At 45.9% G+C, this 27,751-nt stretch overlaps 1 long non-coding RNA gene across 1 annotated transcript in view; it reads right to left on the reverse strand.

Moving 5' to 3' along the window:
* Positions 1-1,726: 1,726 nt before the first annotated feature.
* The window catches only part of LINC02937 (long intergenic non-protein coding RNA 2937), an 86,180-nt gene continuing 60,155 nt past the window's right edge, over positions 1,727-27,751 (reverse strand). Inside the window, exons 4-6 of the long non-coding RNA NR_184105.1 lie at positions 26,295-27,292; positions 23,048-23,174; positions 1,727-3,190 (exon numbers count right to left, since the gene is read on the reverse strand). This is a non-coding gene — a long non-coding RNA (long intergenic non-protein coding RNA 2937). The remainder of the gene's footprint in view (positions 3,191-23,047; positions 23,175-26,294; positions 27,293-27,751) is intronic.

Raw genomic sequence — 27,751 nt, forward strand, 5'->3', positions numbered from 1 at the left:
CCCACTGCTACTGTGTCCTGGGCCTGCCCTGGGACCGCCCAACCCTGTCGAGTGCACCCTGCCTGCAGTACCCTCTGGGCCCTACCCAGTGGCCACCACCGCTAAGATGATCAGGCAAGTTGGGAATGACAAGTATGCTGTGCCTGGTGTCTTACGGAAGACTGCAAAACCCAAAACAAGCGCTCTCCTTGCCCAGGAGGGTTACTCTCTTCTCCTAAAGAGTTTGCTCTCCCACTCTCCGGAGCAACCATTGCACAAAGCCTCTGTCCTCAGCCTCACAGCGCCCCCCCCACCACCACCCACAAGCTGCCCTTCAGGGAGAAAACCAAAGCCAGCAGGCAGTGGCTGTCTTGTCCATCATCGGCCCCCAACCCCTGACTTCTGGGCTTCCATGCACCAGGCACCTCTGGACACAGTGAAGCAGAGCAGCCCTTTCTCCAGGTGCTGAACTCTGCATCCCCCACCACCATCTTCTCAGAGATGCCTCTTTTCCTGCACCATTGTGTCCCCTCTCTACCAGACCATTCCAATAGCAAGAAAACATGCTTTATGTTGGTCTTTTAAATTTTCATTTTGTATTGACCCCGCATTTTCCCCCACCAATAGCCCTATTTTGCCATTACCTGTTATGCACCAAACAGTGCTGTCTGCAGATGCTATCTGTGCTATCTCTGCTTCCAGCTCCTGCACGGCCATCCCCCATCCCCATACTGCCCCCTCCACCCTCTGGAATGGCTGGTCAAGGTCATGAAGAACCTCCAGTGGCCTCTCACTGAGTTGGTGGATGGATGCAAAATGTATTTTGAAATGAGAAGGTGAAGACTGCAGGACAATGTGAGGGTTTATTGTATGTGGAAGGCAAGGAAAAGAGCAGAATCAAGGGCAAGGGCTGCCTGTTGGGCTTGAGTCATTTACTGAGATGGAAAAGTCTAGGAAGGAGCAAGTTTGGAAGCTTGGGGGTAAATTAAGTCTCTTTTTGGCCACATTAAATATGAGATCCTGATTGGATTTTCAAATAGCAGTGTCAAGATGGCAGTTGGGGCCAAGTGCAGGGTCTCATGCCTGTAATTTTAATGCATTGGTAGGCCAAGGCAGGAAGATCACTTAAGTCCAGCAGTTTGAGACCAGCCTGGGCAACATAGTGAGACTCCATCTCTACAAAAAATTTTAAAATTAGCCAGGCATGGTGGCGTAAGCCTGTGGTCACAGCTACTTGGGAGGATTCCTGGAGTCCACGAGGTCAAGGCTGCAGGGAGCTGTGATCATGCCACTACACTCCAGCCTGGGTAACAAAGTGAGACCCTGTCTCTAAAGAAAAAAAAAAAAAAAAAGGAAGGCAGTTAGTCATGTGCTTGGTGCTCAAGGAGAGGCCAGTATGCAGACACATACCTGGAGCTATTGGCACTAAGATGACATTTAAGGACAAGGAACTGGACAGGAGTCTCTGGAGAAGCCAAGACCTAAGCCCCTCAGGGCTCCACAGCCTGTAAGGATGAAACAGAGAGAAGGGGTTGTGGGGAGAGACCAAAGCAGGAGGAAAACAGGAGGGCGTGTTATCCAGGAGTCCACTAAAGAGTGGGCTCAGATGCTGCAAGAGATGAGTTAACTCAGAAGAGGGCCTTTGTGTTTGTCAGCAAAGCCACATCAGCTGCAACCTTTCAAAGCCAGGGACGATATAGTGTCTTAGTCTGCTTTGTGCTGCTCTAATAGAATATCACAGACTGAGTAATTTTATAATCAACAGGAATTTATTGGCTTGTGGTTCTGGAGACTGGAAAGTCCAAGATCGAGGGACCAGCATCTGGCGAGGCCTTCTTGCTGCATTACTCCATGGCAGAAGGTGGAAGGGCAAGAGAGGACAAGAAAGTGGGAAAAGGGGGCCAAACTTGTCCTTTTATAAGGAACTCACTCCCTTGGAATAGCAGCATTACTCCATTCATGAAAGCAGAGTCCTCATGGCCTGAGCACTTCCCATTAGGCCCCACCTCCCAACACTGTTGCATGGGGCCTAAGTTTCCCACACATGCTTTTTGGAGGACATATTCAAACCACAACATGTGGGTTGGAAGTGTGTTCTATGCCCAAGAAAAATAATGAACCTGACATAATTGCATGAAGAAACAAACCTCCAAACTGACACGGAAGGTGGAACAAAAGCTCAGCAAATGAGCCCTGGTGCGTTCAGACAGCCACACTCAGCACAGTTGCCATCAGAGCACCCAGAACCTTGATTTTCTGGACCTAAACACACATTGAGATCCCTGATGAGGGAGCTATTAACTTCCCTTTCATTTCTAGTAAGTTCCACTCCAGAACCAGAGGGGACCCTTTGGAGTTGCCACAAGCCTCCTTGTCTTATACCTAGGCTCTTCTCTCTAGCTCTTCTGGGCTAGGTAAGCACATACATTCCCATGCCCTGTGGGTAAGCACAAACATTCCCAGCCACTGGAGGTGACTGGTTCTTCCAGGCAGACAATGCTTCCCTTTCCACCGGAACATGCCCATTCTGGTTTGTGAGGACTTGCAGCCACGGGGACTGTCACTCCACACAACAAAGGCAAAGGCACGGCACTGCTCCCCGTGGCTTGCCCCAATCCATGGATTTCTAAGCAAATCTAGAAGACCAAATGCTAAAAAACAAACAAACAAAAACTATTAACACAATGACTTGCAGATGAACAGCCCAGGGCTATGGGGTGGGAGGAGTTGAAGACTCCTCATTGGGTTATTGGTGTTGTTGTTTTGTGTTTTAGTAAGGAAAAATGTGCTAAACCTTCTGTGCCTGGGGTGTGTTATTATACGACAACCAAAGGCCAAAGTTTCCAGCTTTGCTACTTGGCAGTTTTTTTAGTGGATTCATTAGCTATTTCATCTCCTTATCAGGCTGAAATGTAATAAAGATTCTAACAATATTCTAAATTCCTGGCAGAGTTACACAACCAACGAGAACCACCAGTGTTCTCTACTCAAAGCCTCCTAGAAATGTCAAGTGTTCTTGTTGGTTTTAAGGAAATAGCATAAAAGTAACTTTCAAGCTGCAGTGGCTGAGGCCCTTGGAGGACATAATTCACACCCAGGAGAGGGGATGCTGCCGGGCGATGGCTCTCACAGCACGACGCCTTCATCTCTGTCTCGCTGCCTCTTTGAGTGTCACTGTGCATCTCTGTGGTGCCTTTGTCTGTGCTTCTCTCTATAGCAAAAGGAATATATTCAGTTAGCTTCCAATTTTACTGGTGGGAGTGAATAACTTATAGCCATAGCCAGAGATGCTAGAGTTATTCACAATGTACCACAGGATGTTTCTGTGGTCCTACCAGATTTGGGGTGCAAGGTGCAAACCAAAAATAAAATTCTAAGGCCTCCCAACCATCTGAATGAACTTTCTTCTCAGCCAGTGCTCTTAAAATTTAACCTGAAAGACTGGGTCAGGGCCCAAAGGGAAATGGGAATCAGACATGCCTCATTACACCTCTCTACATTAACATCAACACCGACTTTAAGTCTGATAAGAAACATTTTACAGCCTATTCTCTCTGAAGCCTGCTACCTGGAAGTTTCATCTGCATGATAAAACTCTGCTCTCCACCACCTCTTATGGCAACCCAGACATTCCTTTCTATGGATCCCAGGTCTTTGAATAAACTCAACCAATTGTCAACCAGAAAATTTTAAAATCTATCTATAAGCTGGAAGCATCCCCAACCCCCTTGCTTCAAGGTGTCCCATCTTTCTGAACCAAACCAGTGTATTTTTTTTTTCCTTGAGGAGTCTTGCTCTGTTTCACTGCAACCTCCGCCTCCTGGGTTCCTGCCTCAGCCTCCTGAGTAGCTGGGATTACAGGCACACACCACCATGCCCGGCTAATTTGTGTATTTTCAGCAGAAATGGGGTTTCATCATGTTGGCCAGGCTGGTCTCAAACTCTTGACCTCAAATGATCCTCCCACCTCATCCTCCCAAAGTACTGGGATTACAGGCGTGAGCCACCATACCCAGCCAAACCAATGTATTTCTTAAATGTATTTGATTGAAGTCACATGCCTCCCTAAAATGTATAAAACCAAACTACATCCTGGTCACTTTGGACACATGTTCTCAGAACCTCCTGAGGGGCTGTGTCATGGGCCATGGTCACTCATATATGGCTCAGAATAAATCTCTTTAAATATTTTACAGAATTTGACTCTTTTCATTGACAAAGGTAAGAGACAAACACAGTACGGTATAAATGTCCCACACATCAGCATGCTGCAGCCCTAGAAGTGTGGTTCAAAATATCCAGTGTGCATGAGAACCACCTGGGTTCTTTGCTAAGTTGCGGGTACCCCCCTAGATCTGCTGAATCAGGGGTTCTAAAAGTGAGAACCAGAAATGTGCCAGTTGATTCCAACTGGATGGGCCTCCAACTACAGTTGGAGAAACACAACCCAACAGAGAGCTGGAATTGCCCTGCTCAGTAGGCTGTAAGGATCACTGGGTAATCAGGGATGAGAACTAGTGAACAGTTCCAGGCTCTTCCATTTCTGTTCCCTGAAGGCTCTGGAATCTGTGTGGCCCTTTGTAGCATTGGGACCCATTCCAGCCAGTTCTCTCCCTTTGTTCTAGATCCTACCAACAGATGACAAGGCGCAATACAGGAGCAATGTCAGGTGGGCCTTCCTGGGTTCTCCGTGAAATTATATGATTTATGAAATGGGTGATAAATTTAGAGACAGTGCAAGGGAGATCAAAGAGTTTCATAAAGGTCAGAATACAGGACCTTAGAGCATTTGTTGCAATCTTAGTAATAACTCAGATTAGAAATGGAAAGAGGATTGCGAGAGGAAGTGTGTCCTTCGTGCTCCCTGGCAAGTGAGCATGTGGGGCTTACGTGCTAGAACACTTCCAACCTCAACCATAGCTGGCACTGAGGTGAGCCACAGCCAACATCATTGGTGTTCTGCCCCGTATTCTTGGGCAACCAGAGCCTCCTGCTGCACACCGAAGCTTGCTCCGTCCACACGCTAGGATTGCTCAGACAGAGAGTGATGAGGGCCAAAGGATGAAGACCCAGCTTACCTGTCCTTCACTGGGGTAATCCTGAGGCACCATCAGCAGGGATCATCAGGGGGTGCCCAGCAGACAGAGCAGATGGAAAATAAGCATTTGAAAATTGGTGTTCAATATTATCAGCCTTCATGGGCATGCAAATTAAAACTGCAATCAGTACACACCTATCAGAAAGGCTAAAATTAAACATTGGCAATACCAAATTCTGGAGAGGATGCAGAGAAGCTGGGTCACTCCTACACTGCTGGTTGGAGTAGAAAATGGTACAGGCACCCTGGAAAACAGTTTGACAGTGGCTTGGGAAACTAAACATCCAATTACCCATACAAACCAGCCATTGCACTCTTGGGCATTTTCTCCAGAGATATGAAAACTGAGGTCCACACAAAACTTTGCACAGAAATGTTTATAGCAGTTTATTTATAGTAATTAAAACTAGAAAAACCCAAATATCCATCAACAGTGAATAGTTAAACAAACCATGGTATATTTATACAAAGTGTCAATGAAAAGAGTCAAACTGTAAAATATTTCAGAAGATTTATTCTGAGCTAAATATGAGTGACCAATGGCCCATGACACAGCCCCTGGAGATCCTGAGAATATGCCCAAGGTGGCTGGGCTACAGCTTGGTTTTATACATTTTAGGGAGACATAAGACATCGATTGATACATATAAGATGTACACTGGTTGGGTCCGGAAAGGCAGGAAAACTCGAAGTAAGGGGCTTCCGGGTGGATTCAAAGATTTTCTTACTGGCAATTGGTTGAGTTTATCTAAAGACTTGGAATCAATAGAAAGGAGGGTCTGAGTAAAGATTAGGGGTTGTGGAGGCCAAGGTTCTTATTACGCATAGGAAAGCTCCAGGTAGCAGGCTTCGGAGAAAATAGATTGTAAATGTTTCTAATCAGACTTTAAAAGTTGCCAAATTCTTAAATTCTCTCCTGGATCAGAAAAATGACCTGGGAAAGGGAAGGGGATTCTCTACAGAATGTAGATTTTCCCCACAAGAGACAGCTTTGCAGGACCATCTCAAAATATGTCAAAGAAATCTATTTTTGGGAAAAATACTTCAATTTCTTTCAAGGCCCACTGTCATGTTGGTACCTTGCCGCTATAAAGAGTCCGCTCTGTTAGTCTTAAGGTCTCTGTTTTAATGTTAATGCCAGTCAGCTATGCCTGAATTCCAAAGGGAGGAAGGTATAATGAGACATGTCCAACCACCTAGTTCCATCACGGCCGAACTAATGTTGCAGGTTTACTTTCAACTGCCCTTGGCCGAGACGAGGGGTCCATTCAGTTGGTAGGAGAGCTTAGAATTTTATTTTTGATTTACACAAGGTGTATCAATCAGCAATCTAAAGGAATAAACTACTGAACTTGGATGAATCTCCAGGAAATGGTGCTGGGTCTTCACCAGCAAACTGCAAAAGGTTACACACTACGTGATTTCTATATAGCATTCTTGAAACGACACAATCATAGAAATAGAGAATAGATTGGTTGTTGCCAGAGGTTAAGGACAGTGGAGTGGGGGACCATGTGTGGCTATTAAAGGGTGACTGGAGGGACCCTGTGGTATTGGAAATGTTCTGATCCTGACTATCAATGTGCATACACTGGTTGAGATACTTTATTTTAGCGTTGAAAAATCCTACCCATTGGAGGAAACTAGGGAAAAGGGTACAACAGGATCCCTGTGTATTATTTCTTACAACTGCATGTGAATCTACAATTATCTCAAAATAAAAACATCTAATTTTAAAAAATGGGACAAAGCAAACAGAAAAAACAATAAATTTGAAGGAATGCCAACATCATGTTCATGCATAAAGGCAAATCTTTTACTGAATAATAATGCACAGCAAGTCGCAGGAGAAAACTTGGGGAAATGATTTCAGAATCCAAAGATTTCATGAATAATGACTACTTCATAGTCACAAACATTGTTTTTAAGTGTCATAAAGGTTCTAATATTTACCCTGAAAACTTATAGCAATATTTTCTTTTTTTTTTTTTTTTTTTTTTTTGAGACGGAGTCTGGCTCTGTCTCCCAGGTTGGAGTGCAGTGGCGTGATCTCAGCTCACTGCAAGCTCCGCCTCCCCCGGTTCACTCCATTCTCCTGCCTCAGCCTCCCGAGTAGCTGGGACTACAGGCGCCCGCCACTACGCCCGACTAATTTTTTGTATTTTTAGTAGAGACGGGGTTTCACCGTGTTAGCCAGGATGGTCTCGATCTCCTAACCTCGTGATCCGCCCACCTCTGCCTCCCAAAGTGCTGGTATTACAGGCGTAAGCCACCGTGCCCTGCCAGAAATATTTTCAAAGCCTGAAACCATTGTTGTTAGTGGACTCTAGATGGATCTCTTAATTGTTAGCCTTCACTACAGGAGAACACAGGCCAAAACCATCTGCAGACAACAAATCATACTCAGGTTGCCAAGAGCATTACCAGTCCCACGTTATTTAAACCATTTCACCAAGAGCTCTTGTTTTACAGCCTTCCATGATGTGTTGACATATTCACACACTTGTGACGTGTGAGCCTCCTCCTTCTTCCTTTTGGAGTGTGAGGTCTGCATCTGCCTCTTTCCCTTCCCTTTTCCCTTGTAGATCTTTCCTTTTTTTTTTTTTTTTTTTTTGAGACACAGTCTCACTCTGTCGCCCAGGCTGGAGTGCAATGGCACAATCTCGGCTCACTGTAACCTCCACTCACTGCAACCTCCGCCTCCCAGATTCAAGCGATTTTCCTGCCTCAGCCTCCTGAGTAGCTGGGGTTATAGATGCCAGCCACCACGCCCAGCTAATTTTTTTGTATTTTTAGTAGAGACGGGGTTTCACCACTTTGGCCAGGTTGGTCTCAAACTCTTACCTCAGGTGATCTGCCCGCCGTGGCCTCCCAAAGTGCTGGGATTACAGGTGTGAGCCACTGTGCCCAGCCCCTTGCGGGTCCTTTCAATGGCTTCTTGACAGTGTATCTCAAAGTCGGGGCTGGCCGACTGAGTCTCCCAGGGATTACAACTGTCCTGTCTGACCAACGAAGGCTTGTCCCAGACTGACAGGGCAAGTTACTTTGGTCACCCGCTGGGACACAGTGTCCACAATGTAATTTCTTTCTTATTCATCCAACCTGTTACATGGACCTAAAAATAAATTGGGGATTCTGTCTTTTGATCTGGATACAGCTTTCTTTAAAAAATTAGAAAAAGGGACAAATTTCATCCCATTAACGAAACATGCTAATACAACTGGTAATATATTTCTCATGTCCCCAAGTTTTAATAGTGGACAATTTAACAAATTTTGCACCTTTGGAGTTGGACTTGATGGTACATTGAATATCAAAGGGACTTAGTTGCCTCACAGTATTCACATGCTCATATGTATTCGTTCTCTACATTAATGGAAAAAACAAATTCTGTCAAATATTTAAAGAGGTTTATTCTGAACCAATATGAATAACCATGGCCCAAGGGAATAGTCTCTAGAGGTCCTAAGAAAGTGTGTCCCAAGCAGTTGGGTTATAGTTTGGTTTTATACATTTTAGGCAGACAGAAGTTACAGGCATCAATACATGTAAGGTTTACATTGGCTCAGCCTGTAAAGTTGTGGAGAGGGTCAGGGCAGAGTAGGGGTGCTTACAGGTCATAGTTGGGTTCAAAGATTTTCTGATTTGCAATTGATTGAAAGAGTTCAGCTTTGTCTAAGAACTTGAACCCAGCAGCAAAAAAAAATGCCTGAGTTAAGATAAGGGGGTTTCAAGAGCCAAGGATAGAGGGTAAATGTCTCTTTTCAGACCTCAAAAGGTGTCAGACTCTTAATCTCTATTTTGATGTTAATGCTGATCAGTTCTGCCTGAACTCCAGAATAGAGGGTGTATAATGAGGCATGTCTGACCCCCCTTCCTGTCGGGAATTCTGTTTTATAGGTTTCTCTGGGGTCCCCTTGGCCTACAGCGAGTCCATTCAGACAGTCAGGGGAAGGCTTAGGATTTTATGTTTGGTTTACATCTATTGCTGTCTAAAAAATTATCCCACAATTTATTGGCTGAAAGCAACAGTAAATGTTTATTATCTCACAGCCTTTGTCAATAAGGAATGCAGGTATGGCTTACCTGGGGGGCTCTTGTCAGGTTCTTACATGTGCTTGCGGCCTAAATGTCAAGTGAATGCTAAAAAAAAAAGAAGCCAGGCTGGGCACGGTGGCTCACGCCTGTGATCCCAGCACTTTGAGAGGCCAAGGCGGGCAGATCACCTGAGGTCAGGAGTCCCAGCCAACCTGACCAACATGGAGAAACCCCATCTCTACTAACAATACAAAATTAACCAGGCATGGTGGCCCATGCCTGTAATCCCAGCTACTCGAGAGGCTAAGGAAGGAGAATCGCTTGAACCCGGGAGGCGGAGGTTGCGGTGAGCTGAGATTGCACCATTGCACTCCAGCCTGGGCAACAAGAGCGAAACTCCGTCTCAAAAAAAAAAAAAAAAAAAAAAGAAGCCAAACACAAAAACACACTGGGATAATGTGACTTATAATAAGCAATACATATATTTGGTTTTCAACTACCTCTCTTTCCTGACATATGGCTCCTAAAACACTTGGAACCTCCCAACTGATAAGTGCCTTTTGTATGCTAAGGAGATGACTGGTGACTGGAGGCTTCTGGACAGCCTCAGGTTAGGGGCTGGTTTCCAGGGGGAACCAACCTTGTGATTAGAGCATCTGGACTTTCAGCCCCATCCCCAGCCTCCAGGGAGGGGAGAGGGGTTGAAAGTTGAGTTGATCACAAATGGCCAATGATTGAGTCAATCATGCCTATGCAATGAGGACTCTATAAAGGACAGGTTTTGGAGAGCTTCTGTATAGATGAACCCATGAAGGTTCCTGAAGGATGGTGCAATCACCCAACCAGATTCTTCTTGCACACAGCCCAGAAAAGTCAGTGCACTGAAAACAGCAGGCGTTGCAGCAAAGAAAGAGTTTAATAATCACAGGGCCAGGCAAGTGAGGAGGACAGAAGATAATTCTCAAATCAGTCTCCCTAAGAATTCAGAGGCTACGGTTTTTAAGGGCACTTTGGTAGACAAGGGTCTAGAGAATGGGAAATACTGATTGGTTGCATTGAGGATGAAATCACAGGGCTGTCAGAACTGTCTTTGTGCAGCTGAGTTCCTGGGATAAGGTCACAGGTCCAGGTGGCGTCATTTGGTCTGCCAAAATACTGTCTGAAAAATATCTCAAAGACCAGTTCTTTAGGTTTCACAATTGTGATGTAATCTATAGGAGCAGTTGGGGAAGTTACAAATCTTGTAACCTCAAGTTACTCGACTCCCAGACAGTTGGCACTACAGAAGAGCACACTACAGGATGACAGGATATTGTTTAACTATGCCTATTCTTTAGCAAAGTTCAAGCCCCTATTGTAAGTCTTTTTTTGGAATGCAGCTTCAATCTCTGAATAAGGTGGGGTGGGGATCAGTTTTCCTTGACTCAAAGTTTAACTATAAACTAAATCCTTCTCATAGTTATCTTGGTCCCTGGGCTAGAAAAAGCAAAAAACAAAAACAAAACAAAACAATTTAGCCTGTGAGGTTAGAAGCAAGATGGAATTAGTCACATTCAATTTCTCACATTACTTATAATTCTGCAAAGACAGTTTCAGTGGCACACTCAGAGGGGGCATGGAAGCTATGCACCCCTTCCTATATACCTCATCCTCTTGTGATGGTTAATATTGAGTGTCAACTTGATTGGATTGAAGGATACAAAGTATTGATCCTGAGTGTGTCTGTGAGGGCATTGCCAAAGGAGGTTAACATTTGAGTTAGTGGGCTGGGAAAGGCAGACCCACCCTTAATCTGAGTGGGCACCATCTAATCAGCTGCCAGAGCAGCTTGAATATAAGTAGGCAGAACAGTGTGAAAAGAGAGACTGGCCTAGCCTCCCAGCCTACATCTTCCTCCCATGCTGGATGCTTCCTGCCCTCAAACATTGGACTCCAAGTTTCTCAGTTTTGGAACTCAGACTGGCTCTCCTTGCTCCTCAGCCTGCAGATGGCCTATACTTAATAAACTCATATATATATATATATATATATTCCATTATATATATATTCCATTAGTTCTGTCCCTCTAGAGAACCCTAACTAATATACCTGTGCATCTCTTTATCTAGCCGTTCATATATATTCTTTGTAATATTCTTTATAATAAATGAGTAAATTCTTTATAATAAATGAGTAAACACAAGTTAGTGTTTCTGTGACTCATCCTCACCAATTAATCAAACCCAAAGAGAGGGTCATGGGAACTCCAATTTATAGCCAATCAGCCATATATATAGGTGACAACCTACTACCTGTGATTGGTGTCTGAAGAGGGGCAGTCTTGTGGGTCTGAGCCACCAGATCTGTGGGATCTGATGCTATCTCCAGGCAGTTCATATCAGAATTGAATTATAGGATGCCCAGCTGTGTCTGCAGGAGAATTGCTAGCTCTGTGAGGAAAAACCTACCATACCTCTGGCCTTAGAAGAGTTCTGTGTTGTATTGAATGTATGAGAGTAGGAAAAACACTTTGGTTTATTTTTTCCTTTCTCAAATGCATACAGACTGTATGATTCCACTCATATTAAGTTTTCAGAAAAGACAATTCTGCCTTGCCTGATAAGGAAGGTAGGGAGAGAGAATGACTGCAATGAGTAGGGAGTTTCTTTAGGGCATGATGAAAATATTCTAAAATTAGATAGTGGTGATAGTTGTGCAACTCTGTAAATGTACTGGAAGTGTAAAATTATGCATTTGAAATCAGTGAATTTAATGATAAGTAAATTATATCTCAGTAAACTTGTTTAAGAGAGAAAAAGAGAGTTGAGTTAGTCAGGCTGCAGTTATCTGAAAGCTTGACTGGAAGTGAACAATCTGCTTCCAAGATGAAACAGTGTCATAGCTAACCAGTTGATGCTGGCTGTTGGCAAGAGGCCTCAGCTCCTCACCATGAGAACCTCTGCACAGGGCAGCTTGAGTGTCCTCACAACATGGCAGTGGCTTTGACAAGAGCAAGTGACCCAGGAGAGAGACCAGGCTGGAAACTGTAATGCCTTTTATAATTGCCACACTCTGTTACATACACAGTCCAGGCATGCTGCAGTGTGGGAGAACACTTCACAAGGGAGTGAATACCAGGAAGTTGTAATGATCTGGTGCCATCTTGGAGACTGGCTGCAATGCCATGGAACTGACAGGTTTTATCTTCAATATTAATAGGCATCATTTGGGCCATTCTTGTTTACTTACAGAGGTTACTGAAATTGCTACTCATAAATATGGACTAGCATAGTATCTCCGTGTTATCAGTTGTTTTGTTTTGTTTTGTTTTGTTCTGTTTTGTTTTAGTAGAGACAAGATCTTACTATGTTGCCCAGGCCAGTCTTGAACTCCTGGGCTCAAGCAATCCTCCCACTTCAGCCTCCTAAAACACTGGGATTATAGGTGCCAGCTAACATGTTCAGCCATGTATTGGGTCTTGATTGGTAAAATATGTAACATATAAATGTGTGTGTGTGTGTGTGTGTGTGTGTGTGTGTGTGTGAGAGAGAGAGAGAGAGAGAGAGAGAGAGAAATACTGAATTCCCATGATCCATTTGTTTGTTTGAAGGTCCAATATCCGTATTTTTAATATTTCTTCTATTTAGGGGTATCATACAGTTTTTAGTTTTCTTACCATATAATACATGTTGGACATGCATGTCTAAGATTTTAAGCTGCTTTCCTCTCCAGTTGGTGACAATAGAAGCCCTGAATCCCTATTGGGACATTTTGCAAACTAAGCCTGACATGAGGTAGGTAAAAAGTCAATCAATCTTATTTGTGGGTCTTCTGGACTTTCTGACTTCTGTTCCATTGGTATGTCTGCCCCTTTTCCAATGTTCCACTGTCTTAATTATTAGGGCTAAATAATATCTTAAAATTGAGTAGTGTGATTCCTCCATCTTTATTTGTTTTCAAAACAGTTTTAGCTATTCTGGTTCCTTTGTTTTTCCACATACGTTTTAGAAGAAGCTTGTTCATATCTACAAACAATCCTATCAGCATTTTGATTGGAATTACAATTCAATCTATAGATCAGTTTGGGGACAATCAACATTTTTTCATGTTGAGTCTTCTAGTCTCAGTGAGACTTCTCAGAGTGAGAAGTCAAGTCTTTCTCCCCCACGGGGTGGTCTTCTTGTGCTGGTGCCTTAATTATTGCTTGTCCATCTGTTCCCTTCTCCATACCAGATTCCTGATATCTTTGTCTGGCATTCTGGTCCTGGCATCTCTCATCTTCTTGCTCAGAATTTCCCACTGACTTGCTGTCTTGGCTCTGTTTTATGAGAGGCTTGTACTGTTCCATCTTTCAAACCAGAAATTCTAGTTTCAATAAAGGTGATTCTCTTTTTTATTTATCTGCCAATGTCTTGGAAATCAGAATTCATGCGTTCGTTCTCATCATGTCCTTTTGTGATGTAATCTCATCTCTTTACAGGGCCTCTTGCTCTTCTTACTGAAGCTCTCAGCCCATGAGCTCTGCCTCAAGAGAAGCCATATGTCTTCATCGCTCTCTCTGATCATCCTCCCTCAGTCCTGAATCCCCCTAAAGCCAGGACAATTCCCTTTGCCCTCTCAAAGTAGTCATGTGCCTACAGAGGAGACTCTTGGGAGACCCAGCTCACTCAGGTGGGTGAATGAAGGCACCATGCCTCTTTCATGGCATCTTCCTGCTGTTGCAGGAGGCAGACAGGGCTAGGCAGCGACTGAGAGTAGACAGGCCTTTGCAGATGCAAGGACAGTCCTCCCAGCAGCACACTTCAGCTCACACCTAAGTCCTTTTGCCAAAGTTCAGGACCACCCTATTCAAATGTCCCCCTGAAGGACCTCAGGGGTGCCACCTTCCTCTAAGTGGATGCCCTGCATCTACCAGGTCCCCTGTCACAGCAATGGACAGTGACATTTGGGGCCAGCTTTGCAGAGAGGCAAGATTTCTCCTCTTCAATGTATCAGTATTTGGAGGGATTTGATCAATTTAGCCCCTTGACAGCACAAGCCCACGAGCCTCACTTTGACACCTTTCCCCAGAATACTACAGCTTGGGAGCAAACGGCCTGCACAGCCCCCAGCTACAGAAACCATGCATGAACTACTGCTGTAAAGTGTAATTCTCTCTCCTTTGCATTAAGCTCCTGCAGGGCTCTGATTACACAGGAAAAGAAAATGTTGCTGAAGAAGATGGCTCTTCTGGGAAACCTGTCTCCAGCACTCTGCAGGAGGGAGAGGTCCTCCCAAGCTCACATTTAGTAAGAAGAGAAGGGGACTCTTCAAAGAGATGAGAGTGCATTTGGCTTCAGAGTGTGCCTTCGCCAAGAGAGGGTGCACTTCAGCAGGCAGTGGCATCAAGCTCTCACTCCACAGGATGACCAACGATGTTTCAGTCGCCCTTTTTCTGATGCTTCCTAAACAAATAAAGTGGCAGTAATTCTAGAGCTTAACCAGAAGAAAACTGCACATTCCCTCCTGAAGATATTGCCCTGACTATATCCATCCGGTTGTTACTCCTACATAAATGTTAGCCTGCTACATGAGTGTCCTGAGACTTTGATGACATTTAAATCAGCAGCTGCTCCAGCCTCCTACCTTCAAGCCAACTAGCAGTTCATTTCCCAAAAGAGGGCATGCTTTAAGGGCTAATGTCTCAGCCGACACTGGGCTGCTACTACAAAATGCAGAGCAGGGAGGCACGCGGGGCCAGGTGTCCACAACAAATAGAAGGTGTCCTGAGCCTCAAAAACCGGCCGTCTCCCCATGGAGGTCAGCACAGGCTTATTCATCAACTCTGCTCTTGTAAACACAGGCATCACTGGGTATAAAACATGCCATCAACTGAGTGGGGAGCATTTTTTCTATAACCCCTGTTGCCAGGTCATATAACCTATTGCCAGGTTAGATGACCATCACAAGGATGATCAGCCAGGACAGAGGGGTGACCTGGTGACCTGGGTCATGGTACTCTGCAGGGCTCCCTAGCTGTCTGGCCAGTCATTGGCAGCTCTGCAGAACATCAAGCAAGTTACAGGGTGGCACTGAAAGCTGATGGGTATCGAGAAGGTGGTGGCCACTTAGAAGCCCCACTGGGGCCTTCAAGAAGCTGATCACAAGGTGCATGTTCTTAGATGGACCTCTGGGCAGCTGCAGAGTGCAGGCTTACTACCCAGATCAGAAACCCCATGTAGGGTGAGGATTGTCACTGAGAGAGGAACTGGTGGAGGAAGTTCTGCTGAAAAAGTCCTGGTGACCCCATCCCCTGAGCAGAATGCCCAGGTAAGCCACCTCCTGTCTCTTCCTCCTTCCTTCTCTTTCATGCGAACACAGAAAAGGCAGCACAGCAGTGACACCAACCACACCGCAGTTCCCACCTGGAGAGGAGGTGAGGTCAAAAAACACATGCCCTGCCATGCCGGCTGGCCCTGAACACACCTTCCTCCATGCACACAGGTAGACAGGTGAATCCTGAGGTTACTGTTCCAAAACTCACCATGAGGGGCCAGTCACGGTGGCTCACTCCTGTAATCCCAGCACTTTAGGAGGCTGAGGCAGACAGAACACTTGAGGTCAGGAGTTCGAGACCACCCTGGCCAACATGGCGAAACCCCATCTCTACTAAAAATACAAAAAGTAGTCGGGCATGGTGGCAAACACCTGTAATTTTAGTTGCTCCGGAGCCTGACGAGGCATGAGAATCACTTGAGCCCAGGAGGCAAAGGTTGCAGTGAGCTGAGATCATGCCACTGCACTCCAGCCTGGATGACAGAGTGAGACTTCGTCTCAAAAACAAAACAAAACAAAACAAAAGGCCAGGAGCAGTGGCTCACATCTGTAATCCCAGCACTTTGGGAGGCCGAGGTGGGCAGATCACGAGGTCAGGAGTTCGAGACCAGCCTGGCCAAATGATGAAACTCCATCTCTGCTAAAAATACAAAAATTGGCCAGGCATGGTGGCACGTGCCTGTAGTCCCAGCTACTCGGCAGGCTGAGGCAGGAGAATCGCTTGAGATTCCATCTCAAAAGAAAAAAAAAAGAGAGAAACAGTCCTGGATCACAGACACCACCCCTCCCTTACTCTGGGCAGCAGTGGCCTGGTGCAGAGAGTGTCTCTAGATGCCGTGGGAGAGAGAACACAGCAATTGTGAGACATTGAACGCAGTGCAATCCTGTTAGAGGAGAAAGGAAAACCCAATCAAACTCAGCTGATGCCCACCCATTGAGGGAGTGTTTAAACCAGCCCTAGCCAGAGGGGAATGGTACCAACTTAAGTGCCTGCAAACCTCGCCACTGCCACCAAGGGCTACAGTGCTCTGTGTCTCCAAGTAAATTTGAAAGGAAGTCTAGGACATAAGGACTGCAACTCTTAGGTGGGTCCTAGTGTTGAACTAGACCCAGGGACAGTGGACAGGGATGTTGGGGACGAGACATACTGAGATACCAGCTGGGGCAGCCAAGGGAGTACTAGCATCACCCAACCCTTAGCCCCGGGATACACAGCTCATGGCTCCAAAAGAGACCCCTTCCTTCCACTTGAGGAGAGGAGAGGGAAAGTAGGGGGGACTTTGCCTTGCATCTTGGATACCATCCCAGCCACATCAAGATAGGGCACCAGTCAGAGTTGTGAGGCCCCTGTTCCGGGCCCTAGCTCCCAGACGACATTTCTAGACACACCCTGGGCCAGAAGGGAGCCCACTGCCTTGAAGAAGAAGAAAAAAAAAAGTCCTGGCAGCATTCATCACTTGCTAACTGAAGAGACCCTGGGCCCTGAATAACCAGCAATAATACCCAGGCACTACATTGAGCACCTTGGTGAGCCTCTGATATTTGCTGGCTTCAGGTGAGACTCAGCACATTACCAACTGTGGTGGCTACAGGGCAAAACTCCTGCTTGAAAAAAGCAGAAGAAAAAGTAAAGGGGACTTTGTCTTTCTTGCACCTTAGGTAACCGCACAGCCACAGGGGTGTAGAGCACCAATTAGGCTCTTAGAGTCCTTGATTCCAGGCCTTGACTCTTAGATGGCATTTCTGGACCTGCCCTGGGCCAGAAGGGAGCCCACTGCCCTAAAAGGTGAGTCCCAGGCCAGGCAACATTCACCACAAGCTGACTTAAGAGCCCTTGGACCTTAAGGGAACATTGGAGACAATCTGGCAGTATTTCTTGTGGCCTGGAGTGGCAGGGGCTGTAGGGCGAGGGGCTCCCTAGCTATCTGGCCAGTCATTGGCAGCTCTGTGGAACATTAAGCAAGCTACAGCTCCTCTGACTTTGTAAAGGGGAGGTGATATGGTTTGGCTGTGTCCCTATTCAAATCTCATCTTGAATTGTAGCTCCCATAATTCCCACATGTCGTGGGAGGGACCCGGTGGGAGATCATTGAATCATGGGGGCAGGTCTTTTCCCATGCTGTGCTGGTGATAGTGAATAAGTCTCATGAGATCTGATGGTTTTATAAAAAGGCCATTCCTCTGCACATGCTCTCTTGCCTCCCACCACATAAGACATATTTTTTTCTCCTTTGCCTTCCACCATGATTGTGAGGCCTACCCAGCCATGTGGAACTGTGAGTCCATTAAAACTCTTTCCTTTAACAATTACCCAGTCTCAGATATGTCTTTATTAGCAGTGGGAGAACAGACTAATACAAGAGGGAGGAGTGGGAAGGATTGCATCTGGTGGTTTGAGTGCCAGATCGGCCGCAATACAACAGAACACTAGATAGACTTCTAAGATTTTTGACTCTACTTCCTGACTCCCAGACAGCACCTCTGGACCCACTCAGGGCCTGAGGGACCTCGCTGCCCTACAGGGAAGGACACATGCCTAGCTGGCTTTGCCACCTGCTGATTTTAGAGCTACAGGGCCTTGAGCGAACATAGGCAGTAGCCAGGGAGTGGTTACAGCAGGCTTTGGGAGAGACTCAGTGCTTTCCTGGCCTCAGATCTGACCCAGCACAGTCATAGTAGTGGTGGCCACAGAGATGCTTGTGTCATTCCCTGCCCCAGCTTCAGGTGGCTCCCAACACAGAGAGAAATGGTGTGTTTGGAAGAAATTAAGGGAAGGATTACCTGGTAATCCAGAGAATTATCCTGGATATTGTCCAAAACCATAAAGGCAGTACCTCTACAGGTTTGGAAGAACCACAGTGCTACTGGGCTTGGAGCATCCGCCAAAACAGATACAGCTTAGATCACAATACCCAAGTCCTTTCAAGTATCTGGAAAGCCTTCCCAAGAAGGACAGCTACAAATAAACCCAGACAGTGAAGATTACAATAAATACCTAACTCTTCAATGCCCAGACACTGAAGAACCTCTGCTAGCATCAACACTATCCGGGAAAACATGCCCTCGCTAAATGAACTAAATAAAGCACCAAGGACCAATCCCGGAGAAACAGAGATATGTGATATTTCAGACAGAGAATTCAAAATAGCTGTGTTGAGGAAAACTCAAAGAAATTCAAGATAACAGAGGAGGAATTCAGAATCCTATCAGATAAATTTAACAAAGAGATTGAAACAATTAAAAAGAATCAAACAGAAATTTGGGAGCTGAAAAATGCAACTGGCATACTGAAGAATGCTTCAGAGTCCTTTAATAGCAGAACTGATCAAACAGAAGAAAGAACTAGAGAGCTTGAAGACAGGCCATTTGAAAATACACAGTCAGAGGAGACAAAACAAAAACAGAATAACAAACAATGAAGCGCACCTACAGGATCCAGAAAACAGCCTGAAAAGGGAAAATCTAAGGTTATTGGCCTTGCAGAGGAGAGAGAAAGAGATACGGATAGAAAGTTTATTCAAAGTGATAATAACTGAGAACTTCCCAAATCTAGAGAAAGATATCGATATCCAAGTACAAGAAGGCTGTAGAACAACACCAAGCAGATTTAACACCAAGCAGATTTCAAAGAAGACTATCTCAAGGCATTTAATAATCAAACTCCCAAAATTCAAGGATAAAGAAAGGACCCTAAAAGCAGCAAGAGGAAAGAAACAAATAACATACAATGGAGCTCCAATAGGCCTGGCAGCAGACTTTTCAGTGGAAAGCTTACAGGCCAGGAGATAGTGCCATGACATTATTTAAAGTGCAGAAGGAAAAAACTTTTACCCTATAATAGTATATCCAGCAAAAAGTATCCTTCAAACATGAAGGAAAAATAAAGACATTACTAGACAAACAAAAGCTGAGGGATTTCATCAACACCAGACCTGTCCTACAAGAAATGCTACAGGGAGTACTTCAATCAGAAAGAAAAGAACATTAATGAGCAATAAATAATCACCTGAAGGTACAAAACTCACTGGTCATAATAGATACACAGAAAAACACAAAATATTATACCACTGTAACTGTGGTGCATAAACTACTCATATCCTAAGTGGAACCACTAAAAGATGAACCAACCAAAAATAACTGCAACAGCTTTTCAAGACATAGTTAGTAAAATTGAAACAATAAAAATTTAAAAAGTGGGGGGATGGTGGAGAGAATGAAGTTAAGATGTAGAGTTTTTATTAGTTTTCTTTTTGATTGTTTGTTTGTTTATACAAATAGTGTTAAGTTGTTATCAGGTTAAAATAATGGATTATAAGATAGTATTTGCAAGCCTCATGGTAACCTCAAACCAAAAAACATACAGTGGATATCAATCCATCAAGAGAGCTCACCTGAATATGCCAGTCCCTGGTGGATGCTGCTGTCCCCAGTGGTGGGATCAGCAAGCTTATTGGTCTGTCTATCCCAACAAGTGAAATAAGCATGCCAAGGTTTGAAGAACTACACAGAACCAGCCAAATGGAAAAAAAAAAAAAAAAAGGAATTCTGAATAGTTGGGCCCATGTGAGGTGTCAGAGAAGCTATTATTTTTTGAGATGTAAGCCTTTCTAACCCAAACTGCCTTAAATGCTTGCTTCGTGAGCTTCAAGAGTGTCGCACAAGTGGGGAGCAGGTGGGGATAGGTCCCAGCTCACTGTGGAGGAAGTTCTGGGTTCCAGGCAGCAATGGCTGCCCGAAGAACTGACATGCTCAGGTAGCTGGGAACAGCCCTGAATCCAGAGGGCAGGGAGCCCTGTCTGGAGCCCCCCACTTCACACCTGGCTATGCCAGCTGCAGGGCTGAGACTCCTGCCAGTGAGATATGAGCCCCTGGGTCATGGCTGCAGCTTGCTGGCTGATACTCGGTGTCCCTCTCTCTGGAACTGTGGGCTCTCTGTCCCCGACTCAGAATGGCAATTCTGACCCCTCTACCACCCTCAGTCCCATGTGGAATGAGAGACAGAGAGGTGGAGTCTAGTCTCTATGACCACGTGCCCATGCATGCCTGCAGAGCCCAGGCCCCACAGCCCTGCCCCCGAGTCACATGCATGGCCCACAGGGACAAGATCAATGTCCAGTCGGAACGGGGAGCTCGGTTGCTCATGCTGGACCGGCATGGCCGTTTCCTGCTCCTTTTCAGCAGTGACCACAAACCTTCTCCTCCAACATTCAGAAACAGCCTGCATCCGGCTGAACCACACTCAGGCTTCCTTTACCCCTGGAAAAGCCCACTCTACCCAGATGCTACTGATGTTTCCCTCCTGGTATCCCAAAGGATGCCACACGCCCCTCGCCTCCTGTGCCAGTACTCCACCAGCACACACCTTTGAGTCGTAAGAACAGGGCTGGCAAGGGGCAGAAAATTGTGTGGACTGGGGTTGCCATTAGAGGAACTTGGTGAACAAGTGAACCAATGAACAAGCACTTTGAGATTGCAGTGTTTATGCATTTGAGTGGAAATGGGCCAAATGCCCCTCTTCTTAAAAGGCGATAGCAGTTTTCTAGGAGCACAGCTTACACCTGTGAGTCCTAAAGGCAGCTCCATAAGACACCAACTGGCCCTGGAGAGGTGAGAAGGGCGGTATATTCATCAGCTGGAGCTGCGTGGCTGTGGTGCCACAGACTGTGTGGCTTCAACAACAGAAATATAACGTTTCATAGTTCTGGAAGCTGGAAGTCTGAGATCAAGTTGTCATCAGGGTTGGTCTCTCCTTGCCTTGTAGATAGCATCTTCTCCCTATGTCCACACATGGCCTTTCTTCTGTGCCTGTGTCCTCATCTCCTCTTCTTAGAAGGAGACCAGTCAGATTGAGCTAGGGCCACCCTATGACCTCATTTCACTTTAATCACCTCTTTCAAGGCCCTATCTCCAAACACAGTCACATTCTGAGGTACTGGGAGTTGGGGGTCCACCATATGAATTTTAGGGGGGACACAGTTCAGTACATCACAGGCAGTTCCCTCCCTCTGCTCTCACCCCTTGACCTCTCTTCCAATTTGCATTCACCTGCTTTGGCTTCCTCTGAGATGTTCTCAATACTCCTTCCTTTTATAGGCTTCATTCCAGGCATTTGATCATTTTCCGTTCATGAACTCTTCGTCTCTGTTCTATGTTTTAGGATCTTTTAAGGGTCCTATTATCCTTTGCTAACCACCAAAAAGTGAAGTCTGCAACCTGGAGAGCCTTCCCCTGCCTTGGGCTGCTCTGTGAGCTGAGCTCTGTGGTGCTGGGGTCTGCCTATCCTGCTTTGGAGATGGATTACTCCAGTGTCTCCCACATGATTCCAGGCTGTGGTCCCTTCAACGTAGCAGAAAACCTCTCCCCCACTGGTGCCCTTTTCCCCCACAAATCCAAGCCAATCCTGAGGAATGTCACTGGGATGACCAACTTAAGCCAGATACAACAGTATTGTCAATATCAGTGCTGGCACTGCCCAGACACAGACTCTCAGCTCAAACCCATGGACTAAAACTACCTTCAGACTGAAACCTCTGATTCGTACCAGGGCCACGATTCAGCCTGGATTTCAACACATCTGGGGCCATCAGGCACCAGAGCACAATGCCACCCTCATAGCCAACAGCAACTACTGACCAGGGCTTTAACACAGAGCCTGCCATTGGCTGCTTTCACTGAGGTGTAGCAGGTCATTTTTGGAGGAGTCAAAAAACATTTGTTGGAGATTGCTAGTCAATTAGAGACCGTATAGCCTAGTGGTCCCAAAGCACAAATTCTGGACTTTGCCTAAGTTTGAATCCTGACTCTTCTAGTTCCTAGCTGTGTGACCTAGGGTACATTACCTGACCTCACTGGGCCTCCAATTACTCTTCTATAAAGTAGAAACAATAATACAGTTGGCCCTCCATATCTACAGGTTCCGCATCCATGAATTCAACCAACCTCAGATAGAAGATATTTGGGGGAAAAAAATAAATGATTGAGTCTGCACTGAACATGTACAGACTTTTTTTTTTGCCACTGTATGTAATGTATGTAAACAATACAGTACAACACACATTGCATTTACACTGTATTAGATGTCATAAGTAATCTAGAGATGATTTAACATATACAGGAGGCTATGCATAGGTCATATGCAAATATCACACCACTTTATATGAGATTTGAGCGTCCGTGGATTTTGGTATCTGCAGTGGGTACCAGAACCAGTCTCCCATGGATACTGAGAGATGACTGTACTTACCTTCTAAGGGAATTGGATTAAATGAGATTATCTATAGACAGCACTTAGAGAGCACCTGAGGGTACAGTAAGCATTCTATAAGTGTTTCTTTGAATTATTATGGTGCTTGCATCATTATTTCATACTCACTGTAGGGAGTTTCTCATCTGCCTCTCAAACTGTGTTCCACCTTATCTGTTCTGGTGGGTAGAAGGCAAAGCACCTGGCCCCGTTACAGTTATAGCTGAACCATGACCAATGAGTCTGAGCATTGGATGGCATGAACATCGGAGATCCTCTCCTGTGAATCTCAAGTGACCCTCCTTGCCCCTCCCCAACTCTCCCACTGCGGGATTTTCCCAGGACAGAATCTCAGAATGAGCTGGCTCTACAGGCACTCACAGATGCACCCTTACCTTGACCTGCAGGCCTGAAGCCGACCCAGCCCACAGGCAGCATTCCGAGCTGACACATCAAGAAGCTCCAGATGCCTCCCCGACCTTCACAAATGTGAAACAAGATGAAGGTGTTGACAGGGCTGGTCTGTAGAAATAGTATTTTGTTATTACTGAAATGTTAGAGTGTAAAATAGAATGTTCTGTTCCTCTCTAGCCACAATGTCCCATTGATTAGGGGTCCCCAGTCCCTGGACCATGAACCACTATCGGCCCATGGTTTGTTGGGGGCTGGGCCACACAGCAAGAGGTGAGTGGCGGGTGAGTGAGCATTACCGCATGAGCTCTGCCTCCTGTCAGATCAGTGGTGGCATTAGATTTTCATAGGAGCACAAACCCTACTGTGAACTGAGCATGAGCGGGATCTAGGTTGTGCACTCCTTATGAGAATCATCTAACTAATGCCTGATGATCTGAGGTGGAACAGTTTCATCCCAAAACCATTTCCCCTACCCCCATCCATGGAAAAACTGTTTTCCACAAAACCGGTCCCAGGCGCCAAAAAGGTTGGGGACCGCTGCTGTGGCACTGCCATTTCTCAAGCTACCTAGAAGCTAGTTTGAACAGTGTGTGTATTTAAAGTAAATTTCATTTGGGACATTTTATTACAGAAGCTTATTATCTCTTTTTAAAGGAATCTTTCTTCTCAGGATCTTAAGGCATCTTATATCCATTGAAAAGGCCTCCTGTACCATGACAGCTTCTTCAAAGGACACCCTAGATAATAGCACAGGAATCCCAGGGAGATGAAATACCCTGAGATCCACAGACTTCCCTGAGATGGGGAGTCCTGTTTCCTCCTCTACCAAGCTGCTAACCAGTGGCCAAGTCAGATTAAGCTGTATTTCCTCCCAACCCCCCCACCCCCAATCTGCAGTGGAGGAGGTTTTAAGCAGGCAGTGGTTAAATCCTGGAAGGAGAAATTAGAGGAAATGAAAAGACTCTCCCAACTTGGATGAGAAAGTGGTGGAGTGACAGGGTGGGCAAGACCCCAGCAAGCTGTCCGGGGCCAGGCCCATCCAGGAGTCCGGTGTGTTTCAGTGTCTGCCCAGGCCTCCTGTCTAGGAAGCTTTCCTGCCAGGTTCAGAAAATGAAGAACATAAACCACAGGACCCTATTTTATGGGTAGAAATAATGTCAATGAGGGCAAATGGAGAAGAGTGAGGCAACAGCCACATCCGTCCAGGAAGGATGCCTGGGACACAGGTGGTTCTGCCAAAGAGCCAGAAGGATGGAAGGAAATCTCAAAATTCAGATGAGAAGCCAGACAGTAGGAAAGCCAAAAAAGCACAATCTAATAATTTAGAAAATGAAAGAGGAGGAGGGCTGTTAAAGATATTCTCTGCTCCTTCGTAACATCTCAGCTCCTCTCTTCCTATGTAGAAATAAACGCTCACTGCAAAAGGCAATGATTTGCTTAGAAAAAATTCATTTAAAATGTCTTGCAATTATTGACACTGTCATCAGATCTTGGCAGTAGCAGCTTATTATTACCTCCTATGTATGTTTGCCGGGAGAAGAGTCTCATTGTTTAGGAGGGAGAAATAAAGCAAAAGTCCAAGGGTATTGTGCTTGAAATACATGCCTAGAGATATGGAGTTGATTGCCCCAGAAAAAAAAGGAAGCCTATGTGTATATTATTATTCACCTCGGTAGCCCGAATCCTCTATTTCTCTCTCTCTCTCTCTCTCTCTCTCTCTCTCTCTCTCTCTCATACAGTTGAGCTCAGCTGGGCAGCCATCCAAGTGATTCATATTAAATTCTAGCTATATTCAGCACAAAAGTCATCTAGCATCAGAGGATCAAAGTTACATCAACTAACAAGCACTGGGGGATTGATAAGCTGCTAAAATTAGGTCATTGCATAGCAGCAGCCTTTGATGGATGAAGTGAAATTTAGCCGCGGGTTTGCTATTTAAAGATCTGTTACAGCACCCTTTCCTGTAGCCACAATGAACACACAACAAAGTATCATGTGTCTGATTAAATGTTTAATCATCGCTGTTGAGCTTGCCGACTGTGGCAAAGATTCAGTTTCCTTAAGAGTGCATTCAGCTCTTGGGCCAAGCCAGTACCTGCATTTTAATTCCCACATCCAGAGCCTTACAACAGGGCCCATTTCTCCCTCCTCAGGATGAATTCTGTAAAGTTAGTTTAATCGTTTTTAAAAGCATTTGGTCACACAGTTCCACCTCTAAGTCCCTGTCAGTTCAGTGTTTCAAAACTCTTCGTCAGCGTCACACACACACACACACACACACACACACACACACACACACGGCTCCAGACTGCCCAGTGGATGCAGCAACTGGTCTGGTGAGCGCATTTCTGTTTCTTGCTCATTCCCTCAATTTCAGAATCACACACCTGTCCAAAATGGCTCACGTCTCTCTCTTCTTTGGGACTGTTTTTGTTTCCAGATGGGTTAAGGTGGGGATTTGACTTCATTTGGTTTAGGTTTTGGCTGTGGCTGAGGCCCCAGGCATGTGGCAGTCACCAGTTCTGATTTCATAACTCCCATGGCCAGGCCAGGAGCCACACAGGAAGCCGGAAGGGGCCTCGGGTCAGTGTGTCCTGTCCCAGCAGCACGGGGTGGGGGACTGTGTGCCCCCAGGTGTCCTATCCACCCCTCAGCTCCAAAGGGCATGTGGACATGCGTCAGGTCCCCTGAGGCCATCTACAAACACCAGATGGACTGTTGAGCTTCCCAGGCTCAGAACCTAAGAACCCGCAACTGGAAGGAAAAGGCAGCAGAAGATGAGAAAAACGGTCAGGGAGGAAAGAAAACACTTTAACCCAAACAAAGTTTAAAATAAAATAAAGAGTGGTGAACACTCAGCTGGGAGAGGAGAGGAGGCCTCTGTGGGCAAAGGGAAATGCTGCTGAGAGGCAGCTAAGCCTGAGTCTGGAAGACTGGAGGGAGGCAGCTCCAGGGTGAGCACCTGGAGTGCACAAGGCTCTGGAAGGGGAGGGCAAGGGGTATCACCCTCCCCAGAGCCCCAGGGAAGCCTGATTCATCAGTACACCCAGGAAGGGGCTGGCTGCAGCGATAGCCCCCTGCCCAGTTGTCCCAGATGAACCCTGGGCTTGGAAACAGTCCAGGGACACTGGCAGACTGAGAGCCACCGGAGAGGGTCACCCCGTCCCCCTCCTGCCTGTAGGGGCACACAGGTTTCCCACTAACCCTCAGTCCCAGTTGACCAATTACCAGATAAGAAGATTGGATCCTCCTATCCTTACAGACACAAGGACACAGGTGGGAATGGCTTTTCATATGCAAATTCCATGCCATTTGCTTCCTATTCCAGCCAAACAGTTGTGCAGAAGATAAAACGAATCAGGGAGTGCTCCAGGGAGTGCTCCCGGCTCTCAGGAGTACTGTAGGGAGTGGAGACAGGAAGGAAGCCATGACAGGGAAGGTGACAATATTGGCCCGGTGCTCTAGATGCAGTTCTGCAGGCGCTCACTGAAGAGACTGCTGGAGAAGGCAGGAGGATGTGCTCGCGGTTTCCTGTGATGTGGTGAGGGCAGGTGGAGCTTCAGCACCCAGAGGCTGGAGGGAGATCCTTAGGTGGCCCAGGTGACGCAGGAGCCTGGGCTTTCACTCAGATTCAGACCAGAGAGACAAAGTAGGAAACTTGATTTTAAACCTGGGAGTGGCTGAGTGCCTTGTTCTTGGCTATGTTTCAGTGTGATCTTACACATAGCTACCCAGCACATCTGTCTGTCTTCGTTTATGTTCCTTCAGAAGCCAACCCTAAAATAACATCCAAGGGCAGGCAGCAAATTTGGGAAGTTATCTCTGGGAGCACTGTAGGGAGTGGAGACAGGAAGAGAGACAGGACAGGGAAGGTGACAGTAAAACAGCTGCCCCATGGACAACTAGAGCCTAATCCCTCTTGGGAACTCCAGGTTCCAGTCCCATGAAGGAAGGTAGCTGGAGTGTGTGAGCCACTCCCATAGCCACTGGTGGAACACTGCTGGGTGCAGGTAGGGCATTACTTCTCTGGCATTCCAACCTGCTGAATCTTCAGGAAAATCAGGCTCTAATGGCCAGAAAAAGATGCTGGAGGGTGGCAGTTTACAGGCATGCACTTTCACAGTAGTAGGATGGGGCTAGGAGCTGAAGAGCATGTACACAGCACTTGCTACAACATCCAAGATTTTATTTTCAAGAGATGCTTTCTGAAAGCTTAGAGTTGAGCCCTATGTCATGGGAGATAGGAACAAAAAAACCTCATTAGAGTCACAAGTTGTTTTCAAGGTTAATTCAAAGGGTCACGTCTATTCATGTTCAAAATCCCAGCCATGTGTATCTTTACACACAGTAGATGCTCAGATCATCCACCTAGGTGATGAGATGTATCCCGGGCATGTGGGCACTTCAACCAGAGGCCTATCCTTGAGGCCAGTAAGTTACTGCACGTACATTACACCAGTATGATGCTGTCATTATTAATCACCTTCATCTATGTCATTTAAATTGTATCAGGATGGTGTTGTAGGTCATGTTGGCTGATTTTATTTTCCAAAGACAATGATGTTGGTATGAGCCATCCCACAAGCTCTCTGTATCGTGTGATGCTAACCTTCTCTCAAGAGGTGGGATCTATGTTCCCTCCTGTTATGAGCTGAATTGTATTCCCCCAAAATTCATATGTTGAA

The sequence above is a fragment of the Homo sapiens genome, chromosome 9 (genome assembly GCF_000001405.40).
Source record: "Homo sapiens chromosome 9, GRCh38.p14 Primary Assembly".
In the NCBI taxonomy this organism is placed as follows: Eukaryota; Metazoa; Chordata; class Mammalia; order Primates; family Hominidae; genus Homo; species Homo sapiens.